Source organism: Homo sapiens, chromosome 13, assembly GCF_000001405.40.
Source record: "Homo sapiens chromosome 13, GRCh38.p14 Primary Assembly".
Lineage (NCBI taxonomy): Eukaryota > Metazoa > Chordata > Mammalia > Primates > Hominidae > Homo > Homo sapiens.
Window position 1 is genome coordinate 49,132,217 of NC_000013.11, and position 25,295 is coordinate 49,157,511.

Here is a 25,295-nt window from a genome sequence, read left to right on the forward strand (position 1 = left end):
AACTGCAACAATGGCCTTCCAGTTGGTTTTGTTTCCATTCTTGCCCTCAATAATCAATTCTCAGCCACAGTAATTATTTTCAAATATTAATCAGACTGTTCTGTTTAAACTATTTCAGTGATTTCCCATTGCAATTAGAATAAAATCCTAAACCCTTCCCCTAGACTAGGGTTTCTCAAACATGCCACTATTGATGTTTTAGGACGGATAAGTCTTCATTGTAGAGGACAAAACTCTGCACTGTAGGATGTTTAAAGGCATCCCTGGCCTCTACTCACTAACTGCCATTGTGTAGCACAGTTGTAGCACACAACTCTGACACAACATTTTAAATATTCTGACATCTAAAAATATCTCCAGACATTTCCAAATGATCCCTAGGAACCAAAATTAGTTCTGGTTGCAAACTGCTCTTGCAATGTTCTGCCCTGTGGCCCCTGACTTCCTTGTCCCATTGCTTCCCCTTAGTCCCCTTATTTCTTCAGTTTTTCAAAACCACCAAGTTCTTTCTTGCCTCGGTCCCTGTGTACATGGTGTTCTCTCTGCCTTTTCTGTAAATTTCCTTTAACCTTTGGATTTCAGTTTTCAGAGAGACCTTCCTGATCTTACCTTGTTAGTCTCTAGCACTGAACTTTGTATCTTTCACAGAACTTAACACAATTTCTTTTTTGTCATTGTGTATTTGTATGGCTGTCTCCCTTATTTGACTATCAACTCCCTAAGAACTGAATCTATTTTAATCACTATTGTTTCCCTGCACTTAGCATTGCCTGTCACTTATGCTCAGTACATTTGCAGAAGAAATAACTTCAAATACAAAATTGAAATTACACAACACAGCCTGTAAATAGTGGATATATTGTACACATCATATGTATTTGTCAAACTTATTTCTATTGCCCAAGTAATGCAAATTGGTTCAGTAGCTCTGGGTAGTGCTTGAGATTCTGCATTTCTAACAAGCCCCTAGGAGATGTTCATGCTGTGCTCCAAGGAACATACTTTTGAGTACCAAAAGTTTATACTGCAGATTAGTCTCATCCTATTTTTGTTTACTGCTAATTATGACTTAGTTTTAAAAATATTAATTTTTTCTTATAATCTGAGAAAACTATAAGAAAAAGCTAGTATTACAATTATTACTATTTTGCATTGTTAAAACCCCTTGTTATTCTGTAGGGATATGCATTAGAATACATGGATGTGATCTACATTGATATGAAGGAAAGTGAAGGGCACAAATCCACAAATTAGCTACCCAGTGGTAAAAGGGAGGAGTCATGTTGTACTTGAGGTTATAAGCCAGAGATTCTACCACTAAATGCTAATTATTGACAGTACTGGTTTTCTAACCAATGGCTATACCTCCGTGATGTCCTTTCCATGCACAATCCATATGGATTCTCAAAGTGGAATCTGATCCAGCATTTCACTGTTAGCAGTACCATTAGTGAGCCTGAACCTTGCTAGGCACTATGCTCACACATGTATTATCTCACTTAATTTTCAATAAAATTCTGCAAAATTCAAATGAGGAAACCGAGGCTCAGAAATGTTAAGTAATTTCTGCAAGGCCACACTGCTAGTTAATTGCTCAGAATTTTAACCCTCTCAGATCTATTCAATGATTAAGTTCCTTCTCTTTCTACTATAATATATTCTTTTTTCTCTTCCATGGTAGCTTTATTATTTTGAATAATAGATAAAGCATTTTAAAGTATGTACTAATTGATCTAATTGATTGCAGTTGCTATTTTTCTTAACTTTTTGTCGAGATATAATTTAGGTAACAGTTCATCATTTTACACTTCAGTGGTTTTTAATATATTTACTTTATTGTGCAACATATGCAACTCAATGTTTTCTATATTCAGTATGTACTGTATTAAGTACCACTGTCTAATTCCAGAACATTTCTATCATCCCAAAAAAGAAACTGTGCATATTAACAGTCAGTCCCAACTCTCTGTTCCTTCACATCCCATGATCTACTTTCTGTCTGTATGGGTTTGCCTATTCTAGACTTCATATAAATATACATATAAGTATTTCATATAAAAATTTCATTAAAATGTTCATACAGTATGTAGACTTTTGTGTCTAGTTTTTTTTCACTTAATGTCATGTTTTCAAAGTTCATGTTCTCACATATAATAGTACTTCGTTCCTTTTTATGGCTGCAATAATATTGCATTCTGTTGATTACATTTTATCACTCATTAGCTGATGGACCTTTGGGTTGTTTTCACTTTTTGTCTATGAACAATACTGCTGTGACCATTTGTGTAAAAGTTTTTGTGTTGACATATTTTCATTTCTTCCGGGTATGTGCCTCAGAGTGGAATTGCTGGGTCATATGTTAATTCTATATTACTTTTCCACAGTGACTACACCATTTTATATTCCTACCAGCAATGTATGAGGGTTCCAATTTCTTTGCCAAAACTTGATATCGTCTGTCTTTTGATTGTAGGCATCCTGAATAAATTTCTCTCTCATTATGGTTTTGATTTGCTTTTCCCTAATGCTACTAATGTTGATCATCTTTTCATGTGCTTATTGGCCATTTGTATATTTTCTTTTCCTTTTTTTTTTTTTTTTTTTTTTTGAGATGGAGTTTCACTCTTTTTTTTTTTTTTTTTTTTTTTTTGAGACAGAGTCTCGCTCTGTCGCCCAGGCTGGAGTGCAGTGGCATGATCTCGGCTCACTGCAACCTCTGCCCTCTGCCTCCCAGGTTCAAATGATTCTCCTGCCTCAGCCTCGCGAATAGCTGGGATTACAGGTGCGCGCCACCACGCCCGGCTAATTTTTTGTATTTTTAGTAGAGATGGGATTTCACCATCTTGGCCAGGCCGGTCTTGAACTCCTGACCTTGTGATCCACCTGCCTCACCCTCCCAAAGTGCTGGGATTACAGGCGTGAGCCACTGCGCCCAGCCCCATTCATATATTTTCTTTGGAGAAATGTCTATTTGAATTCTTCACCCATTTTTTAAATGGGTGGGATATTTGTCTTTTTATTGTTGAAAGGTAAGAGTATATATATTCTGGATACAAGTTCCTTATCAGATATATGATTTCCTCCCTTGTTGTTTTTTCACTTTCCTTGTGGTATCCTTTAGTGCAGAAAAGTTTTTAATTCTGATGAAATCTAATTTTTTCTTTGATTGCTTGTGTTTTTGGTGTCTCGTCTAAGAAACTATTGCCAAATCCAAGGTCATAGAGACGTGTTTTCTTCTAAGAGTTCTATAGTTTAATCTCTTACATTTGGGTCATTGATTCATTTGAATTAATTTTTGTATATGGTGTGAGGTAGAGGTCCACGTTCATTCTAATGTTATTGTACATATCCTTATAATACTCATTTCAAAAATACTGTACTAATTTTCTTAAGGCACTGCTAAATTAAAACTTTTTACTGAGGCTTTTAAAAAATATTTTTCTCATCACAAATTTTAAATTTAAAAAACTCTGGGGACAATTGAATTAATATTTATTGAGCATAATGACTTAATTATGTTCCTATGTGACTTTTATTAGAATGAGTGGATTCTTCTAAATCACAACCTTGAGTTTATAGTATCTGAAGATACATTATATGTAGATTGTTATTGTTAAACAGTCTAAATCATTTCTTTTGGCTAACTTTTTTTCAGTGATGATTGCTTTTTTGAGTTATAAGGGAATTTAGGCAGGCAGTGGTTTTCTTTTTACCTATTTTATGTGTTTAAGGTTCAAAAAGATGTGAAAAGTAATAGTTACTAAAGAGTAAAAGAAAAAGAACTGTGGACTGCTCAGCTCCAGTCTCATTCCTCACCTACAATAATCATAAGTTACCACCAAGCTGTTTCTATGGAGATTAATAATTAGTTGAGAACAGAAGGAAATAAATCTCTCTGTAAATTTACTTGAGAGAGAGATATATATAATTAGAATAAATCACAAAGCTTGGTTCTGATAGTTTATGGAGACACAAAGGTTGCTTTGTTATGCAAAATTCTTTTAAATATTTTATAAAAGTTTTATATGATAGATTTATTTTCTGTTCTTTTTTCATGGCATAAACTTATTTGGAGAAAGTGATCTTCTTAACATTTTGTTTTTATTGCCTCCTAGATGCTCACTCTACACATGGAAGGTCCAACTTTAGAGATGAACGATCTAGTAAAACATATGAACGTTTGCAGAAAAAATTGAAGGATCGCCAAGGAACACAGAAAGATAAAATGAGCAGTCCACCATCATCACCCCAGAAATGCCCTTCTCCCATTAATGAACATAATGGACTTATAAAAGGACAAATTGCTGGTGGTATAAACACAGGATCAGCAAAAATCAAGTCTGGGAAGGGGAAAGGTGGTACACAAGTTGATACAGAAATTGAAGGTAACTGTTTGAAGTACTGAACTGTTCTCATTGATGCTATTCTCGTGATTTAACCTACTAAAAGTATATTCTAACCTTTCAGTCATTTTGTCATGGTCCAAATAGACTGTTACAGGCTGCTGCTTTCGACAGTTTGGAAAGCCTCAATTAGTAATTTCATCTATATCGTAAATTTTACTGACTGAAATTTCTATTTGATAGGAAAACTCAGAGAACATTAATCCAGATTCCTTTCTTCTGATTCTGGGCGTTTGATAAGGCTATGCTGCTGGTTTTTAATCAAAACTTTTTTTTTTTGAGACAGGGTCTTGCTTTGTCACCCAGGCTGGAGTGGCACGATCATAGATAACTGCAGCTGGAAACTACAGGCATACACCACCACACCCAGCTAATTTTTTAATTTTTAGTAGAGACAGGGTCTCGCTGTTTTGCCCATGCTGGTCTCGATCTCCTGGGCTCAAGCAGTCCTCCCATCTTGGCCTCTCAAAGTGCTGCAATTATAGGCCTGAGCCACTGTCCCCAACCTATCAAAACTTTTTATTTCTCCCACCTTCTTTTTGAGTAAAACCTTGATAGCAAATAGTTATATCATTTACTAATCTCTCTATATACTCTGTAATTAGGATAGAGTATTTTTCATTTCTTTCTTCAAAAGTTCTTTTCTCCTAAACTCTCCTTGTTACTCTTGGATCCTTCCCCTAACCTCTGACTTCTACTCTATGAACTTTGTTTTATTGGTTTTTGTTTGTTTGTTTGTTTTTGAGACCAAGTCTCGCTCTGTCACCCAGGCTGGAATGCAGTGGCGCAATGTCAGCTCACTGCAACCTCCGCCTCCTGTGTTGAAGCGATTCTCGTGCCTCAGCCTCCTGAGTAGCTGGGACTAAAGGCGCATGCCACCACGCCCAACTACTTTTTGTATTTTTAGTAGAGACAGGGTTTCACCATCTTGGCCAGGCTGGTCTCCAACTCCTAGGCTCAAGCAGTCCACCCACCTTGACCTTCCAGTGTGCTAAGATTACAGGCATGAGCCTACTATATGGACTTTGAGCACTATTATTTGTATATACTTGAATCAATCTCTATAAGGTAAAATATAGCTGGGTTAACAGCCTGTCTTTCATATGCCTACAGTTGTGGAGTTAGTACCCAGTACTTTTGATTGTAATGTTAAGCTTGTAACTACTGCTTACTTTGATTAATGTAGTTTCTATATGTATGTTCTTTTAGGTTTCCTTAATACTGACTATTATCTGTTTGACGTAGATATGCGTATGTAGAAATACATAGATATGCATGGTAGACCATGTCAGGTTCTAAAGGTTTCATCAGAAATGACTATGAACCATACCAACATGTCATTTCACAAGCACCAATAACCACAACTCTATCAGTCCTTGAATATGCTTATCTAAATTGATATTTACTATCAAATAGTGTAGGTAATTAATATATGACTAGGAACTAAAATGCTTCCAACTTTGAGGGAAATATCAAAATGTAAGCCATGTGAACTCTTCCTACCTTCCTTTTCCTTAAAATTTCCATGCCTCACTAACAAATTTCAAATAATGTCTTAACTGTTCATGACTTATATATTAACAACATTTACATAAATGTTCTCCCATTTATTTGAGACCTGATCATCGTTTTCAGCACTGATGTTTCAGAAGAAATTAAGTTAAAGTTTTTTGCCTATCAGTGGTGGCTATAAGTTACAGTCAAGCCAATTATATTTCTAATTTGGGAAACCATAACTAAGGCATGTCATGAAAAAATAGTTAACTTTATTAAGAGGTATGAGATTGACAAATGAGAACTTTCCAGAGAGAATATTCTTACAACCATGAATAAAAATATACTTGATATAAGAAAAATTTGGTTCAGATAGATATAGCTATGTCTAAATATATATAGATATATCTGTATATAGTGGTGTTATAATTAGTAGTCACAGTTAAGATAGAAATAAAAACTAAAGTAGATAAATGCTGAAGGGCCACAAACTGCTGAGTATGAACAAAGGAATAAAAACTAGAAAATAAAAGTCTCAAATACCAACCTAGTTTCAGAATACATATTTAGGGAGAAGAAGGGATTGTATCTAAGTTCTTTTTTTTAAATATTCAAATGTTTTATTTTTTTAAGAAAAAGATGAAGAAACTAAAGCATTTGAAGCACTTCTTTCCAACATTGTCAAACCAGTGGTAAGTATCTTATGTATTTTATTGATGTTTATATTTAATATATTAGCATAAGATGTTCATCCATCAAAATGTAGTTTTTTTCTTTTAACTTTTTATGAAAATAGGATCATACTGTATTCTGTGACAAGCTTTTTCACTCACTATGGTATGCTTTAGCTATCTTTCTATGTCATTACCTGATTCTTTGAAGAGCTACATAGTTTTGTCATTCATTCATCAAATATTTATTGATCCCTTACTATATGCCAATAAATAAAAAACAAATGCACAAACAGAATTCTGTGTGATAGTAAAGATTGCTATTATAGAAATAGGAATGATATGATGAGATTAATAGGAGAGGTTGTTAGGTTAAATAGAGCAATCAGGGAAGCTTTCTCTGACAAGTGAGAAAAAGTGCAAAAGTGGAAGGAATGGGAGAGGGAGAACAGGTGTAAGTAAGCATGGGGAGTTGGACAGAGGGAAAGAACCATTATCACTGGAGTATAGTGAAGGGGAGAAAGATGTGGTGGAAGAAGTAGGCCATAGGACTTTTTCAGCCAGAATAAGGCAATTTAAGATTGATAAGAATATTTTTTGGTTCATAAAACAAACTACTCTTTCCCAACTCTCAGAAACATCCATGGTAAAATGTTTTATACTAAGTTGCCCCAAAAATACTTTGTTTTTCTGAGAAAACAGATTAGAAAAGTTATTATTCTTAGTACCATCTCCATAAAGGCTTTTTAAGCTTATCTTGCCATGTTTTAGGATGTTTGAGTAAGCCAGTTCCTCATCTAATAGACTAATATGGTCCTACTTTTTCTGACAACTCCCAAATAATAGATTTGGTTGCTCTAGCTTTCTTTATTCTAATCTGTTTTCTCTTGAGAATAGAGCATATATGTGTAAATAAATGTAAATTTACACAATTATTTCATAGTAATGGTTAACACAAATTGATTAGCATCAGTCTCTGTTCAGAGTGCTTGGAATGCACATGTGCATTATTTAATACCTGTGACAACCATATATGTACTATTTTCCCTGCTTTACAAATGAGGAAACTGAAGCAACAGTGAGTTTCAATTAGTAGTAGTAGAGCTATGACTGAAATTTAGGCAGTATCCTTCCAAGACCCCAAGTGTATATCACTAGGTTTACTAGAAAAAGAATTTAGTAGGCTTAATAAGATTGATGTTTGAGTGATTTAATAGCTAATGCTAGTAGCATTTACTTGTTGTAGTATATATTAAAAGTATAATTTTCAGGCCAGGTGCAGTGGCTCACACTTTCCCAGTCCTTTGGAAAACCAAGACAAGAAGATCACTTGAGGCCAGGAGTTTGAGACCAGCCTGAGTAATATATTGAGACCTCGTCTCTACAAAAAACAAATACAGATACTACAGACCAAGGGGGCACACACCTGTAGTCCCAGATACTTGGGATGCTGAGGTGGGAGGATCCCTTGAGCCTAGGAGTTCAATGCTGCAGTGAACTAAGATTGTGCCTTTTCACTCCAGCCTGGGTGACAGAGCAAGAACCTGTCTCATAAATAAATAAATATATATATAATTTACAGACAGGAAAAGTAAATCTTAAAGCCAATTCAAAGACTTTCTTACTCAACATTAGGAAGAACATGTAGTTTAATAAGATAGTGAGCCCTGTATCATAAAGTAATGCTGATGGTTTTATTTGCTTTGTTTTAGTTTATAGTTTGAATGCCGATTCCTCTTTGATTAAATTAATTGTGAGCTACAAAGTGCAGGTCAGGGTTTTTGCTTGCTTGTTTTTGTGTGTGTGGTTGTTTTTGCATGCTCTAGTTCATTTAGAGCACTAAATTAAATGTGTTCATTCACTTTTTCATTCCATAAATATTTTACCGCTTACAAAGTGACAGATGTTGTGCTAAAGCTGGAGATAGAATGGAAAGCAAAGGATAGACACGGGCTCTGCCACAAGGCTTAGTTCAGTAAACTAAGCATCACACAATGAATGTTAAATTGTAACGGTGAAGTGCCAGGACAAAAAGATAGAGAGCAGTCAGAGTGTGTAATAGGAGGACTAAACCTTGACAAGGAATCAGGGAAGTTTTCCTAAGGAAGGATTATTGTACTGACATTTGAAGGAAAAGTAGTGGTTGGGCATTGAGGACAGGGGTGGAAAGTGTGGGAACAGTATTGCAAACTGAGCAGCATTTGAAAAGCACTGGACATGGCACATTTGAGGAACAACAAAAAAAAAGGAAAGCAGAGAAAAGCTCACTCATGTGACCAGAGTGCAGTGTATAGGGGAGAATGTGGTACATGCACAAGTCTCATAGTCTCAACTGTGTACTTAGGAGTTGAGTGACCCATGACAAGTCACTTGACCTTTGTGAATGTTTCTTCTTTCAGAAAATGGAGAATAATGGTATTGTATACCCTCACATGCATGAAATAATTAACTATATTGAAAGTGTTGTCTTTTCATTTGTTCTTCTTTGAAATTGTTCTCAGTCTCATTTCTGTGAAAATCTACTGACATTTATTTCAGTGGATTTCATTTCCTTTTATTTCAGTAATGCTTAAAATTAAATGTGTCATGCCTTTTACTCATTACCTTTTTGCTTTCAGAATCATTACCCCTTCCCTTTACCTTTTTGTGGTTACTAGAAGTACTATCTAACTCCAAGTTTCCTTAGGCTCAGCCTTTGAGTTATCTTCAGAATTATTCTCTCACCTCCTGATGCCCTTATCTAGACAAGGATCAAACATTTATGTTTATTCTACTTTAGTATTTCTGGAAATCCAGAAATTAGATACTCTCATTTCTTTCTTCTACAGTCTTTGTCAAAATTCATGTAATATATATGGCTTTGAACTCTTTTAACAGTTTAGCTTCCTAGATATATACTTAATTTAACCCAATGGACAGTTTTTCTCAAGGGTAGTTTTGATGACTACCTTACAAGGATCACAATCTGCCTCAAAAAATATATTGTACATAATCTAGCCACTTTCTAAAGGAGCTATTTTCATTTTTTCCTGTTACCATCTTTATCAGTTCTTAGACAGATTTTTACACAATCATACCTATTTTCAGCTACCACCTAGAAGTGGATTCAGAGTGGGATCATTGAGTAGTAGGAAAATAACTGAATTATTCAGGTCCTAGTCAATGGTTCTGTGACCTCTAGACAAGTTACTTAATCTTTCTGAATATGCTCCTTTCACAAAATGAAGATAGTTAAGCCTATTTTGCCTACTTTAGGTGGTAGTTGTAAGAATCAAGTGATATGGATATAAAAGCAAATTTTACTTCTAACATTAGCATACAAATAGAGTTCAAATTACTTCCAAATCTATATTTTCGATCCTAATTACTAATCTGTTCATGTAGAACTGTATCTCCTGAGGCACGCTAAAGAATACCCAAGTTTGAATGTTTCACTAGCAACTTTAGAAAACCAAATTCTTAATCTGCTTGTCTATACTATTTTATCACGTTCTTCATTCCTGTAAAATGAAGAAGGAATTGGGTTAGATCTCTTTCGTTTCTGTTTCCTTTCATTGTTTCCGTCGGTAAACACTTACCCATCCAGGTTTTCCTGGGTTACAGTATCATCTTACATTTCTTCTTTACCTTTCATTCTCCCCATGCTAGATTAGTACTCCAGCTTTATTATTTCACTATAAGTTTATAGGATCCACTCTCCCCACTGTCCCCTACCACTCCACATACACACACAATTACTACCTCAGTCTTCACACAGGAATTTTGTGGTATCTATGTGGGAGTCCATCTCTTTTTCTTCTATGCAACTCTATAATTCACCTGAAACCAGCAACAGAAAACAGCATTTTTAGAAGATTTTAAAAATACATATGAACATGCCTTGGACTACCAGATTTCAGTTATAAGCTTTGGAATATAAATACTCATTCCTGTACTAATTACCCACCTCTTTCTACCAAATTTTATCTCATCCAAGTTCTTTAAGATTCAATTCAAAATTCACTTATGAAGTTTTCCACATCTTATCCCAATGTAGTCACTCTTTCTGTGACTTAACATATAAGTGCAAGTAATAAGATAGCTTTTTCTTTTTGAGACAGAGTCTTGCTCTTTCACCCAGGCTGGAGGGCTGGAGTGCAGTGGCATGATTTCAGCTTGCTGCAACCTCTGCCTCCCAGGTTCAAGTGATTCTTGGGTCTCAGTCTCCTGAGTAGCTGGGATTACAGGCATACACCACCACGTCCAGATAATTTTTGTATTTTTAGTAGAGATAGGGTTCCACCATGTTGGCCAGGCTGGTCTTGAACTCTTAACCTCAGGTGATCTGCCCACCTCGGCCTCCCAAAGTGCTGGGATTACAGGCATGAGCCCCTGTGCCCAGCCATAAGATCTTTTTAATAGAATGAGTTAGTACTAAAAGATTTTCTGGAAAAGCAGAAATTGAAAAAGTTGAAATTGGCCCAGTGCAGTGGCTCACACCTCTAATCCCAATACTTTAGGAGGCCGGGGCAGGAGGATCGCTTGAGCCTAGGAGTTCGCAACCAGCCCAAGCAACAATAGTAAGACCCAGTCTCAATAAAAAAATAATAATAATATTTTTTAAGTTGAAATTAGCATTTTAAAATTTTTTTAATTTATTTTTAAAACTATGTTTGCTAAATTCAACATAGTATTCTGGAAGTCTGTTTAGTTAAAAGTATAGTTAAAAGCTTAGTTAATAGTATTTACCAATATTAATAGTTTTGACAAAAATGCATGGTTATATAGGATTTTAACATTAGGGGAAGCTGGGTAAAGGATAGACAGGGATTCCATACTATCTTCCCAACTTTTCTTTAAACCTAAATTTATTTCCAAATAAAAGACTTTTAAAAATACTTTATTTGTGTAACTCTGGTAAACAGTTCATTTCACTCAGCCACTCATTTTGTTGATGAGGCCTAGAACCCTAAGAGGGTGAGACTTCAGTATCACCAGGCAAATTAGTGACACATCTTGTGCTTCCCTATTTAATATTTTCTCTACTGTCTGTACTCCCCACAGATCCTGATAAAGCAAGCTTCATAAAGTAGGTGCCAGGCTGGGCATAGTGACTCACACCTGTAATTCCAACACTTTGGGAGGCTGAGGCGGGAGGGTGGCTTGAGGCCAGGAGCTCGAGACCATCCTGGGCAACATAGCAAGACCCCATCTTTACTACTACTACTACTACTACTACTACTACTACTGCTACTACTACTACTACTACTAATAATAATAATAATAATAAAGTAGATGCCAGTTAATGCTTTTGACTGACCCACCTTCATAGTCCTATTCACGTTCTCAAAGTTTAACACAACTATTATCATCCCATAAAATCAAGAGACACTTATGGGTATACATACATGTATAGTAGCAGTTTGTTTTAAAAAAGAAAAAAAAACCTGCTCAGTTTCAAGTTAATAGCCAGCTGTATACTGGATCATACAAAGAATCATTTTTAAGTTCATTGTAAATGAAACACAGTACCAAGACTTTAAGACAGTATTAGAGTGAATACAGTATTACATTTCCTGTGATTTAACAGAAGCAAAATAAATATAGTAATAGTTTTTTTTATTCAGACTTCGAGAACTTTGAAAAGGACAGAATGTTACAATTTTATGGAGATTACTTAATTTTACTTTAATTCAAGATAGGAGTAATTGTCATCCTAGTGGTTATTAGTTTGGTTTTAGAAATGCTAAGGTAGTTGTTAAACATATATAATTTTAAAGCAAGCTTTTATATAAATGCCTACATATAATCTGGTACCTTTCTCACCAATCTGTAAACCTTATCTAATCTCTAGATTTTTTTCGCTTTAACAAAAGTAACTTGTACTCATAAAATTATTCCAGTAGTATAAAAATATATAAAACATAATTGAAACCACATGTTTTTTTCTGTCACAACTTTCTCTGCGTCTCACCACACTTACACAAAATCCCCAAAGATAACAATTGGTACATTTGTACAGTACATTTTCAGACATTTTTGTACAGTTTTATAAAAGCTAACTCAACTGCAATCACAGTGTATGTACTGCTTTCCAGCTTCACTTTTTTCTCCTATTACGTAGCACCTGTATATTGAGGAAATCTTCAGATGTTAGCGCATGTATGTCCACCTCATGTTCTTTTTTGAGCACTTGCAGAATAATATGTTCATAGGCTGTGTTATGTACCATCATTTAGGTAGTCAGTGCCCTATAGTTCTAGTTTTTTGCCATTAATAATGCTGCAATGAACATTCTTAAGTGTGTATATTTGTATACATATGTTAAGTTTATAGGATATTACCCTGAAAAAAAATTCCTGGATGTAGAATTTCTGAATCAAAAAGTAAACACATCTTACATTTTATAATGATTCACTAGTTGCTATACACAAGGATTGAACTTACATATACTGTTACCACACTTAGAGAGTGCCATTTCTCCAAGTTTTTAACACTAGATAGTATTAGCTTTTTAATCTTCCCCTATCCAGTAGATGAAAACTGGGATTCTGTTTTAATTTACATGTATTTATGAATGCAGTTTCACACGTACATCATTTTATATGTTGTCCATTTATATTTACATATCTTTGGATGTCGATGTCCTTTGCTCATTTTTCTCTTGAGTTTTTGTCATCCTCCTGTTGTAAAAACATTTTCTAAGCTGAGGAAATGAACCCTTTCAAACATGTTACAATGGTCTTTTTAATCCCAGTTTTTTTCTTTTGACTATGTATGGTGTCTACGCTAATAGTTTTGAATGGCCTGGTTTTTAAACTTTTGTGGAACCCATCTCATTTGTTGTGGAACCCACAACAAATTATTTGCAATGGGCAGGTTTATATTTGTGAGCCATTTTATCTATATAAACAGATACATTTTATTTAATCTTGAAACCTCATTAGATATTTCACTGCTCATTGTATACATTACAGTTGTTTTAAAGAACTTTTAAATGTTGTATTTTTACAGGCCTCCGACATCCAGGCAAGGACAGTAGTACTTACCTGGTCACCACCTTCCAGCCTCATTAATGGTGAAACAGATGAAAGTAGTGTACCAGAGCTCTATGGTTATGAAGTTCTGATCTCAAGTACTGGAAAAGATGGGAAATACAAAAGTGTATATGTGTAGGTATTTGTTGTTTTGCTTTCTCCCATTGTGTAAATTAATGGTTTATTATAAAGAGCTTATTACTAATTTTGCTCTACTTTTCCTTCTTCACGCTTTTATTCTGAATCTTTAAGTTGGCTAATGATAGTGATTTCAATGTAAATGGTCCAAATGTAGCTTGGTACACATTTCTGTCTACCTTCCTTCAGAATAATCACTTTTATTGGCCACATTCAGCTTTTTTTTTCCCAGTAGGCTCCCTAATAGATGGTTCAGTATTCACGTATTCTTAATGCATTAAATATAAGTTGTAGTATGTAGAACCCATGACCAAAAATGGACAATTCATGATTGTAAACTCATAAAGTATGACATTGCTCCTCTAAGGACTGGATTTAATTCTTACATGTACAAGCTCATGTCCTGTTGTAAAATGAATTTAGTAGCACTGTTATTTATTTGCATGTTAGTATGTTTATAGTCATATTTTGAAAACTTACGTATTTCTTTCCTTGGTTTAAAAGTATATTACACACAGCCAGGCACGGTGGCTCACGCCTGTAATCCCAGCACTTTGGGAGGCTGAGGCGGGTGGATCACCTGAGTTCAGCAGTTCGAGACCAGCCTGGCCAACACGGTGAAACCCCGTCTTTACTAAAAATATAAAAATTAGCCAGGGGTGGTGGCACATGCCTGTAGTCCCAGCTACTTAGGACGCTGAGGCAGGAGAATCGCTTGAACCTGGCAGGTGGCAGTTGCAGTGAGCCAAGATCGCGTCATTGCACTCCAGCCTGAGTGACAGAGTGAGACTCCATCTCAAGAAAAAAATAAAAGTATATTACGCACCACGAAGCCTTAGAAAGATTCAGTAGCTAAAGTTGTGACATTTATGATTGACAGTTTTGAAATAAATTATTCTGTCCATATTCATATAGAAGTTGATTATTCTAATAAAAAAGGGTAATGTTAATGGTTAGTTATTATTTAAGCACCAAGAAGACTGTAAAGGTGATGGTTAATCATTTGAATGATCACAATTAGCACAGAACACTGGCTCCATCAGCCTTGTTGCTATCTTTTTTCAAAACATAGCTGGCAAGGAGAAGAAAGGAAAGTGAAACTGCTCCGGTGCCTCTCATCTAGTTACATAAGGTTATAAAAATTTCCTGTTTCCTCTCTATTGAGATTTCCTTGTGTTCTATTCATTTTTCTTAAGAGAGACAAGTAAACCTAAGGGGTAAGTAGGGGATAAAGGACTATCAACATAAAGGTTTCTTACTATGTTAATGACTGTTTTTTAGTTATATATGGCTGCTTACTAAGAGGAATGCTTTATTTCCATTTGCAGCCTGACCAGGGAGCACGAGGGGGGCATTAGTCATCTCCCATATCCTACAGGAATTAAGGTCTCTAAGGATGCTACTGCAACTGCCCAGTTCATTAAAATGTACTTTCAGCCTTGAAACATATTTATTTTTCATCATATTTACTGGCCTTGATTTGAGAAATAGAGTAGCTGGGAGGTAAGGGGTGGGGAATGGAAAGAAGTCCATAAAGTGGAGAGGAGAGAGACTTGGTGGAAGGAAATGAAATAGGGAATCGTGATTTTAAGTTTAAAAAAAAAAAAAGTAGGGAATAGGCTGGTTTGCGGCTACATACCCAAATAATATTCTGTTGTGTATATATACCACATTTTCTTTATCCCATTCATCCATTGATGGACACTTAGGTTGATCTATATTTTTGCTCTTGTCAATAGTGCTGCAGTAAATGTGGGAAAAGCACATCTCTTCAATATACTGATTTTTCCCCTATTTGGAAAAATACCCAGTAGTGGGATTGCTCATTTGTATGATATTTCTATTTTTAATTTTTTGAGAAATCTCCACACTTGTATCCATATTGGTTGTACTAATTAACATTCCACCAACAGTGTATAAGGGCTTTTTTTCTCTGCATCCTCACCAGCATCTGTTATTTTTTTGTCTTTGTAATAGTAGCCATTCTAACTAGGGTAAAATGATCTCATTGTAATTTTGATTTGGATTTCCCTGACTAATGATGTAGAGTATTTTTTCATATACCTGTTGGCCATTTGTATGTCTTTGGAGAAATGTCTATTCATGTCCTTTGTCCACTTTTAATGGGATTATTTGTGTTTTTCCTGTTGAGTTGAATTCCTTGTATATTCTGGATATTAGTCTTTTGTTAGATGAATAGTTTGCAAATACTCTCTCCCTTTCTGAGGGTTGTGTCTTCACTGTGTTGGTTGTTTCCTCTGCTGTGCAAAAGTTTTAGTTTATTTCTCTATTTTTCTTTTTTTTGTTGTTGCCTGTGCTTTGGGGGTCTTAGCATAAAATCTTTGCTTAAACCAGTGTCCTGAAGTGTTTCTTCTATATTTTCTTCCAGGATTTCATAGTTTCAGGTCTTAAACATTTAAGTCTGTAAGCCTTCTTGTGTTTATTTTTATGTAAGATGAGAGATACAGTCCAGTTTCATTCTTCTGCAGGTGGATATCCAATTTTCCTAGCAGCATTTATTGAGAAGGGTATCCTTTCCCCAGTGTATGTTCTTGGCACCATTGTTAAAAAGTCATTTGGCTATAAATTTATTTCTGGCTTCTCTATTGTGTTCCTTAGTTCTTGTGTCTATTTTTATACCAATGCCATGCTGTTTTGATTACTATAGTCTTGCAGTATATTTTGAAGTCAGGTAGAGTGATGCCTCCAGCTTTGTTCTTTTTACTTAGGATTGCGTTGGCTATTCAGGCTATTTTTTGGTTCCATAGACATTTTTGGATCACTTTTTATATTTCTGTGAAAAATGACATTGGTATTTTGATAGGGATTCCATTGAATATAAATTGCTTTGGACAGTATGTTCATTTTAATGGTATTAATTTTTTGAATACATGAGCAATGGATGTCTTTTCATTTGTTTGTGTTCTCTTCAATTTCTTTCATCAGTGTTTTATAGTTTTATCTTGTAGAGATCTTTCTACCTGTTATATTAGATTTATTCTTAGGGTGTTTTTTCTTTTGTAGCTATTGTAAATGTGATTGCCTTTTGGGCTTCTTTCTCAGCTAGTTTATTATTAGTGTATAGAAATGATGCTGATTTTTGTATTTTGATTTTATATCCTGCAACTTACTGAATTTATTTATCAGATCCAAGAGTTTTCTGGTGGAGTCTTCAGATTTTTCTACATGTAAGATCATGTCATCTACAAAGAAGGACAATTTGACTTTTTTTTTTTTTTTAATCTGAATACCTTTTATTCCTTTCTCTTGGCTGGTTGCTCTGGCTAGGACTTCCAGTACCATATTGGAGTGGTGAGAGTAGGCATCCTTGTCTTGTTCGAGTTCTTAGAGGAAAGGTTTTTAGACTTTCCCCTTTCTGTATGATGTTAGCTATGGGTCTGTCATATGTGGTCTTTATTATGTTGAGGTATGTCCCTTTAGTGCCTAGTTTGTTGAAAGATTTTATGAAGGGATGCTGAATTTTATCAAAATTTCTCTACATCTATTGAGATGATCATATAATTTTTGTCCTTCATTATGTTGATATGGTGTATCACATTATTGATTTGTGTATGTTGAGCCATCCTTGCATCCCTGGTATAAATCCCACTTGATCATGGTGTATTGTCTTTATAATGTGCTGTTGAATTCAGTTTGCCAGTGTTTTGATGAGGATTTCGTGTCCGTGTTTATCAAGGATTAGTCTGTACTTTTCTTTTTTTGTTGTGTCCGTATCTGGTTTTGGTACCAGAGTGATGCTGTCCTTGTAGAATGAGTTAGAGAGAATTCCCTCCTCTTCAATGTTTTTGGAATAGTTTGAGGAGAATTGGTGTTCCTTAAAAGTTTGGTAGAATTTGTCAGTGAAGCCATTGGTCCTGGACTTTTCTTTGTTTGAAGACTCTTTATTACTGATTCAATCTCATTACTCGTTATTGGTTGGTTCATATTTTCTATTTCTCGCTGATTGAATCTTGGTAGGTAGTATGTATCTAGGAATTTGTCCACTTCCTCAGATTTTTCAGTTTGTTGGTGTAGGTTGTCCATAATAGTCTCTGATGATTGTAACTGTGTTATCAGTTGTAGTGTCTCCTTTTCCACTTCTGATTTTATTTGGGTCCCCTTTCTTCTTCTCTTGATTAGTCTAGGTGGTGGTTTAGTTCTGTTCTGATTTTTTATTTGTTTTAGAGATGGCATCTTGCGATGTTGCCTAAGCTGGACTCAAACTCCTGGGCTCAAGTGATCCTCCCACGTCAGCCTCCCAAGTACCTGGGACTGTAGGTGTGCACCACTGCACCTGGCTGTCTGCTCTGATCTGCACCACTGCACCTGGCTGTCTGCTCTGATCTTTATTATTTCTTCCACTAATTTTGGATTTGGTTTGTTCTTGCTTTTGTAGTTCTTGAGATGTGCATTGCTAGATTGTTTATTTAGACTCTTTAAGCTTTTTAATGTAGACATTTATTGCTATAAACTTCCCTCTTGGCACTGCTTTTGCTGTATCCCATAGGTTTTAATATTTTGTGTTTCCATTTTAATTTGTTCCAAGAATTTTTTTTTTATTTCTTCCTTAATTTGTCCCTCTACCAGTGGTCATTCAGGAGCATGTTGTTTAGTTTCCAGGTAGTTGCACAGTTTCCAGAGTTCCTCTTGTTATTGATTTCTAGTTTTATTCTATTAAGTTATTAGAAAATATATGATATAATTTCAGTGTTTTAAAATTTCTTGAGGCCGGGCACGGTGGCTTACACCTCTAATCCCAGCACTTTGGGAAGCCGAGGTGGGCAGATCACGATGGCAAGAGATCAAGACCATCCTGGCCAACATGGTGAAATCCCGTCTCTACTAAAATACAAAAAATTAGCGAGGTGTGGTGGTGCACGCCTGTAGTCCCAGCTACTCGGGAGGCTGAGGCAGGGGAATCGCTTGAACCTGGGAGACAGAGGTTGCAGTGAGCCAAGATGGCACCACTGCACTCCATCCTGGCAACCCAGCAAGACTCCGTCTCAAAAAAAAAAAAAAAAAAAAATTGTTGAGACCTGTATTGTGTACTGACATATGGTCTACCCTAAAGAATGTTTCATGTTTCATGTGTTGTAAAGAAGAATGTGTTTTCTGTAGCCTTTGGATGAAATGTATTCACAAAGGTCAGTTATGTCCATTTGGTCTAATGTGCCATTTAAATACAATGAAATTTCTTTGTTAATTTTCTGTCTAGATGATCTGTCTAATGCTGAGAGTGGGGGGTTGAAGTCCCCAACTATTATTTTATTGGAGTCTGTCTCTCCCTTTAAATCTAGCAATAATTGCTTTATATTTCTGGGTGCTCCAGTGTTGGGTACATATATGTTTAGAATTGTTATATCCTCTTGCTGAATTGATCCCTTTATCATTATATAATGATTTTGTCTCTTTTTACTGTTTTTGACATAAAGTCTGTTTTATCTGAGTGTAGCTACTCCTGCTCACTTTTGGTTTCTGTTTGCATGGATTATCGTTTTCCATCCCTTTACTTTCAGTCTGTATGTATCTTTACAGGTGAGATGAGTTTCTTGTAGACAGCATATAATTGGGTCACATTTTTTAATTCATTCAGTGAGTTTGTGTCTTTTAAGTAGAAAGTTTTTTGTTTCTTTTTGTTTTTTTTATTATTATTATACTTTAAGTTATAGGGTACATGTGCATACCGTACAGGTTTGTTACATAGGTATACATGTGCCATGTTGGTGTGCTGCACCCATTAACTTGTCATTTACAATAGGTATTTCACTTAATGCCATCCCTCCCCCATCCCCCCAACCTGCCATGACAGGCCCCAGTGTGTGATGTTCCCGGCCCTGTGTCCAAGTGTTATCATTGTTCAATTTCCACCTATGAGTGAGAACATGCGGTGTTTGGTTTTCTGTCCTTGCGATAGTTTGCTCAGAATGATGGTTTCCAGCCTCATCCATGTGCCTACAAAGGATATGAACTCATCCTTTTTTATGGCTGCATAGTATTCCATGGTGAATATGTGCCACATTTTCTTAATCCAGTCTATCATTGGTAGACATTTGGGTTGATTCCAAGTCCTTGCTATTGTGAATAGTGCCACAATAAACATGTGTGCATGTGTCTTTATGGTAGCATGATTAATAATCCTTTGTGTATATACCCAGTATTGGGCTTGCTGGGTGAAATGGTATTTCTAGTTCTAGATCCTTGAAGAATCACCACACTGTCTTCCACAATGGTTGAACTAGTTTACACTACCACCAACAGTGTAAAAGCATTCCTGTAACTCCACATCCTCTCTAGCACCTGTTGTTTCCTGACTTTTTAATGATCACCATTCTAACTGGTGTGAGATGGGATCTCATTGTGGTTTTGATTTGCATTTCTCTGATGACCAGTGATGATGAGCATTTTTTCATGTGTCTGTTGGCTGCATGAATGTCTTCTTTTGAGAAATGTCTTCATATCCTTCGCCCACTTTTTCATGGGGTTGATTTTTTTCTTATAAATTTGTTTTAAGTTCTTTGTAGATTCTGGATATTAGCCCTTTGTCAGATGGGTAGATTGCAAAAAAAATTGTTTGGTTTTTTTTTAATTATACTTTAAGTTTTAGGGTGTATGTGCACATTGTGCAGGTTAGTTACATATGTATACATGTGCCATGCTGGTGCGCTGCACCCACTAACCACTAACTCGTCATCTAGCATTAGGTATATCTCCCAATGCTACCCCTCCCCCCTACCCCCACCCCACCACAGTCCCCAGAGTGTGATATTCCCCTTCCTGTGTCCATGTGATCTCATTGTTCAGTTCCCACCTATGAGTGAGAATATGCGGTGTTTGGTTTTTTGTTCTTGCGATAGTTTACTGAGAATGATGATTTCCAATTTCATCCATGTCCCCACAAAGGACATGAACTCATCATTTTTTATGGCTGCATAGTATTCCATGGTGTATATGTGCCACATTTTCTTAATCCAGTCTATCATTGTTGGACATTTGGGTTGGTTCCAAGTCTTTGCTATTGTGAATAATGCCGCAGTAAACATACGTGTGCATGTGTCTTTATAGCAGCATGATTTATAGTCCTTTGGGTATATACCCAGTAATGGGATGGCTGGGTCAAATGGTATTTCTACTTCTAGATCCCTGAGGAATCGCCACACTGACTTCCACAATGGTTGAACTAGTTTACAGTCCCAACAACAATGTAAAAGTGTTCCTATTTCTCCACATCCTCTCCAGCACCTGTTGTTTCCTGACTTTTTAATGATTGCCATTCTAACTGGTGTGAGATGGTATCTCATTGTGGTTTTGATTTGCATTTCTCTGATGGCCAGTGATGATGAGCATTTTTTCATGTGTTTTTTGGCTGCCTAAATGTCTTCTTTTGAGAAGTGTCTGTTCATGTCCTTCGCCCACTTTTTGATGGGGTTGTTTGTTTTTTCTTGTAAATTTGTTTGAGTTCATTGTGGATTCTGGATATTAGCCCTTTGTCAGATGAGTAGGTTGCAAAAATTTTCTCCCATTTTGTAGGTTGCCTGTTCACTCTGATGGTAGTTTCTTTTGCTGTGCAGAAGGTCTTTAGTTTAATTAGATCCCATTTGTCTATTTTGTCTTTTGTTTCCATTGCTTTTGGTGTTTTAGACAGGAAGTCCTTGCCCATGCCTATGTCCTGAATGGTAATGCCTAGGTTTTCTTCTAGGGTTTTTATGGTTTTAGGTCTAACATTTAAGTCTTTAATCCATCTTGAATTGATTTTTGTATAAGGTGTAAGGAAGGGATCCAGTTTCAGCTTTCTACATATGGCTAGCCAGTTTTCCCAGCACCATTTATTAAATAGGGAATCCTTTCCCCATTGCTTGTTTTTCTCAGGTTTGTCAAAGATCAGATAGTTGTAGATATGCGGCGTTATTTCTGAGGGCTCTGTTCTGTTCCATTGATCTATATCTCTGTTTTGGTACCAGTACCATGCTGTTTTGGTTACTGTAGCCTTGTAGTATAGTTTGAAGTCAGGTAGTGTGATACCTCCAGCTTTGTTCTTTTGGCTTAGGATTGACTTGGCGATGCGGGCTCTTTTTTGGTTCCATATGAACTTTAAAGTAGTTTTTTCCAATTCTGTGAAGAAAGTCATTGGTAGCTTGATGGGGATGGCATTGAATCTGTAAATTACCTTGGGCAGTATGGCCATTTTCACAATATTGATTCTTCCTACCCATGAGCATGGAATGTTCTTCCATTTGTTTGTATCCTCTTTTATCTCATTGAGCAGTGGTTTGTAGTTCTCCTTGAAGAGGTCCTTCACATCCCTTGTAAGTTGGATTCCTAGGTATTTTATTCTCTTTGAAGCAATTGTGAATGGGAGTTCACTCATGATTTGGCTCTCTGTTTGTCTGTTATTGGTGTATAAGAATGCTTGTGATTTTTGTACATTGATTTTGTATCCTGAGACTTTGCTGAAGTTGCTTATCAGCTTAAGGAGATTTTGGGCTGAGACACTGGGGTTTTCTAAATATACAATCATGTCGTCTGCAAACAGGGACAATTTGACTTCCTCTTTTCCTACTTGAATACCCTTTATTTCCTTCTCCTGCCTAATTGCCCTGGCCAGAACTTCCAACACTATGCTGAATAGGAGTGGTGAGAGAGGGCATCCCTGTCTTGTGCCAGTTTTCAAAGGGAATGCTTCCAGTTTTTGCCCATTCAGTATGATACTGGCTGTGGGTTTGTCAAATAGCTCTTATTATTTTGAGAGACGTCCCATCAATACCTAGTTTATTCAGAGTTTTTAGCATGAAGGGTTGTTGAATTTTGTCAAAGGCTTTTTCTGCATCTATTGAGATAATCATGTGGTTTTTGTCTTTGGCTCTGTTTATATGCTGGATTACATTTATTGATTTGCGTATATTGAACCAGCCTTGCATCCCAGGGATGAAGCCCACTTGATCATGGTGGATAAGCTTTTTGATGTGCTGCTGGATTCGTTTTGCCAGTATTTTATTGAGGATTTTTGCATCAATATTCATCAAGGATATTGGTCTAAAATTCTCTTTTTTGGTTGTGTCTCTGCCCGGCTTTGGTATCAGAATGATGCTGGCCTCATCAAATGAGTTAGGGAGGATTCCCTCTTTTTCTATTGATTGGAATAGTTTCAGAAGGAATGGTACCAGTTCCTCCTTGTACCTCTGATAGAATTCGGCTGTGAATCCATCTGGTCCTGGACTCTTTTTGGTTGGTAAACTATTGATTATCGCCACAATTTCAGCTCCTGTTATTGGTCTATTCAGGGATTCACCTTCTTCCTGGTTTAGTCTTGGGAGATTGTATGTGTCGAGGAATTTATCCATTTCTTCTAGATTTTCTAGTTTATTTGCGTAGAGGTGTTTGTAGTATTCTCTGATGGTAGTTTGTATTTCTGTGGGATCAGTGGTGATATCCCCTTTATCATTTTTTTTGTGTGTCTATTTGATTCTTCTCTCTTTTTTTCTTTATTAGTCTTGCTAGCGGTCTATCTATTTTGTTGATCCTTTCAAAAAACCAGCTCCTGGATTCATTAATTTTTTGAAGGGTTTTTTGTGTCTCTATTTCCTTCAGTTCTGCTCTGATTTTAGTTATTTCTTGCCTTCTGCTAGCTTTTGAATGTGTTTGCTCTTGCTTTTCTAGTTATTTTAATTGTGATGTTAGGGTGTCAATTTTGGATCTTTCCTGCTTTCTCTTGTGGGCATTTAGTGCTATAAATTTCCCTCTACACACTGCTTTGAATGCGTCCCAGAGATTCTGGTATGTTGTGTCTTTGTTCTCGTTGGTTTCAAAGAACATCTTTATTTCTGCCTTCATTTCGTTATGTACCCAGTAGTCATTCAGGAGCAGGTTGTTCAGTTTCCATGTAGTTGAGCGGTTTTGAGTGAGATTCTTAATCCTGAGTTCTAGTTTGATTGCACTGTGGTCTGAGAGATAGTTTGTTATAATGTCTGTTCTTTTACATTTGCTGAGGAGAGCTTTACTTCCAAGTATGTGGTCAATTTTGGAATAGGTGTGGTGTGGTGCTGAAAAAAATGTATATTCTGTTGATTTGGGGTGGAGAGTTCTGTAGATGTCAATTAGGTCCGCTTGGTGCAGAGCTGAGTTCAATTCCTGGGTATCCTTGTTGACTTTCTGTCTCGTTGATCTGTCTAATGTTGACAGTGGGGTGTTAAAGTCTCCCATTATTAATGTGTGGGAGTCTAAGTCTCTTTGTAGGTCTCTAAGGACTTGCTTTATGAATCTGGGTGCTCCTGTATTGGGTGCATATATATTTAGGATAGTTAGCTCTTCTTGTTGAATTGATCCCTTTACCATTATGTAATGGCCTTCTTTGTCTCTTTTGATCTTTGTTGGTTTAAAGTCTGTTTTATCAGAGACTAGGATTGCAACCTCTGCCTTTTTTTGTTTTCCATTTGCTTGGTAGATCTTCCTCCATCCTTTTATTTTGAGCCTATGTGTGTCTCTGCACGTGAGATGGGTTTCCTGAATACAGCACACTGATGGGTCTTGACTCTTTATCCAATTTGCCAGTCTGTGCCTTTTAATTGGAGCATTAAGTCCATTTACATTTAAAGTTAATATTGTTATGTGTGAATTTGATCCTGTCATTATGATGTTAGCTGGTGATTTTGCTCGTTAGTTGATGCAGTTTCTTCCTATTCTCGATGGTCTTTACATTTTGGCATGATTTTGCAGCGGCTGGTACCAGTTGTTGCTTTCCATGTTTACCGCTTCCTTCAGAAGCTCTTTTAGGGCAGGCCTGGTGGTGACAAAATCTCTCAGCATTTGCTTGTCTGTAAAGTATTTTATTTCTCCTTCACTTATGAAGCTTAGTTTGGCTGGATATGAAATTCTGGGTTGAAAATTCTTTTCTTTAAGAATGTTGAATATTGGCCCCCACTCTCTTCTGGCTTGTAGAGTTTCTGCTGAGAGATCCGCTGGTAGTCTGATGGGCTTCCCTTTTTGGGTAACCCGACCTTTCTCTCTGGCTGCCCTTAACATTTTTTCCTTCATTTCAACTTTGGTGAATCTGACAATTATGTGTCTTGGAGTTGCTCTTCTCGAGGAGTATCTTTGTGGCGTTCTCTGTATTTCCTGAATCTGAACGTTGGCCTGCCTTGCTAGATTGGGGAAGTTCTCCTGGATAATATCCTGCAGAGTGTTTTCCAACTTGGTTCCATTCTCCCCATCACTTTCAGGTACACCAATGAGACGTAGATTTGGTCTTTTCACATAGTCCCATACTTCTTGGAGGCTTTGCTCATTTCTTTTTATTCTTTTTTCTCTAAACTTCCCTTCTCGCTTCATTTCATTCATTTCATCTTCCATTGCTGATACCCTTTCTTCCAGTTGATCGCATCAGCTCCTGAGGCTTCTGCATTCTTCACGTAGTTCTCGAGCCTTGGTTTTCAGCTCCATCAGCTCCTTTAAGCACTTCTCTGTATTGGTTATTCTAGTTATACATTCTTCTAAATTTTTTTCAAAGTTTTCAACTTCTTTGCCTTTGGTTTCAATGTCCTCCCGTAGCTCAGAGTAATTTGATCGTCTGAAGCCTTCTT

The 25,295-nt window shown here is 36.3% G+C and overlaps 1 protein-coding gene across 7 annotated transcripts in view; it reads left to right on the forward strand.

The window, feature by feature from the left end:
• FNDC3A (fibronectin type III domain containing 3A) overlaps positions 1–25,295 on the forward strand; it is a 234,489-nt gene that overhangs the window by 156,926 nt on the left and 52,268 nt on the right. For all 7 annotated transcript variants that reach the window (NR_103528.2, XM_017020440.3, NM_001079673.2 and 4 more), the window contains 3 exons: positions 4,116–4,385; positions 6,531–6,589; positions 13,562–13,719. Coding sequence is in view for 6 of the 7 variants with exons in the window: in XM_017020440.3 (XP_016875929.1) it covers positions 4,116–4,385; positions 6,531–6,589; positions 13,562–13,719 (487 nt within the window). In the remaining variant the exon portion in view is untranslated. The remainder of the gene's footprint in view (positions 1–4,115; positions 4,386–6,530; positions 6,590–13,561; positions 13,720–25,295) is intronic.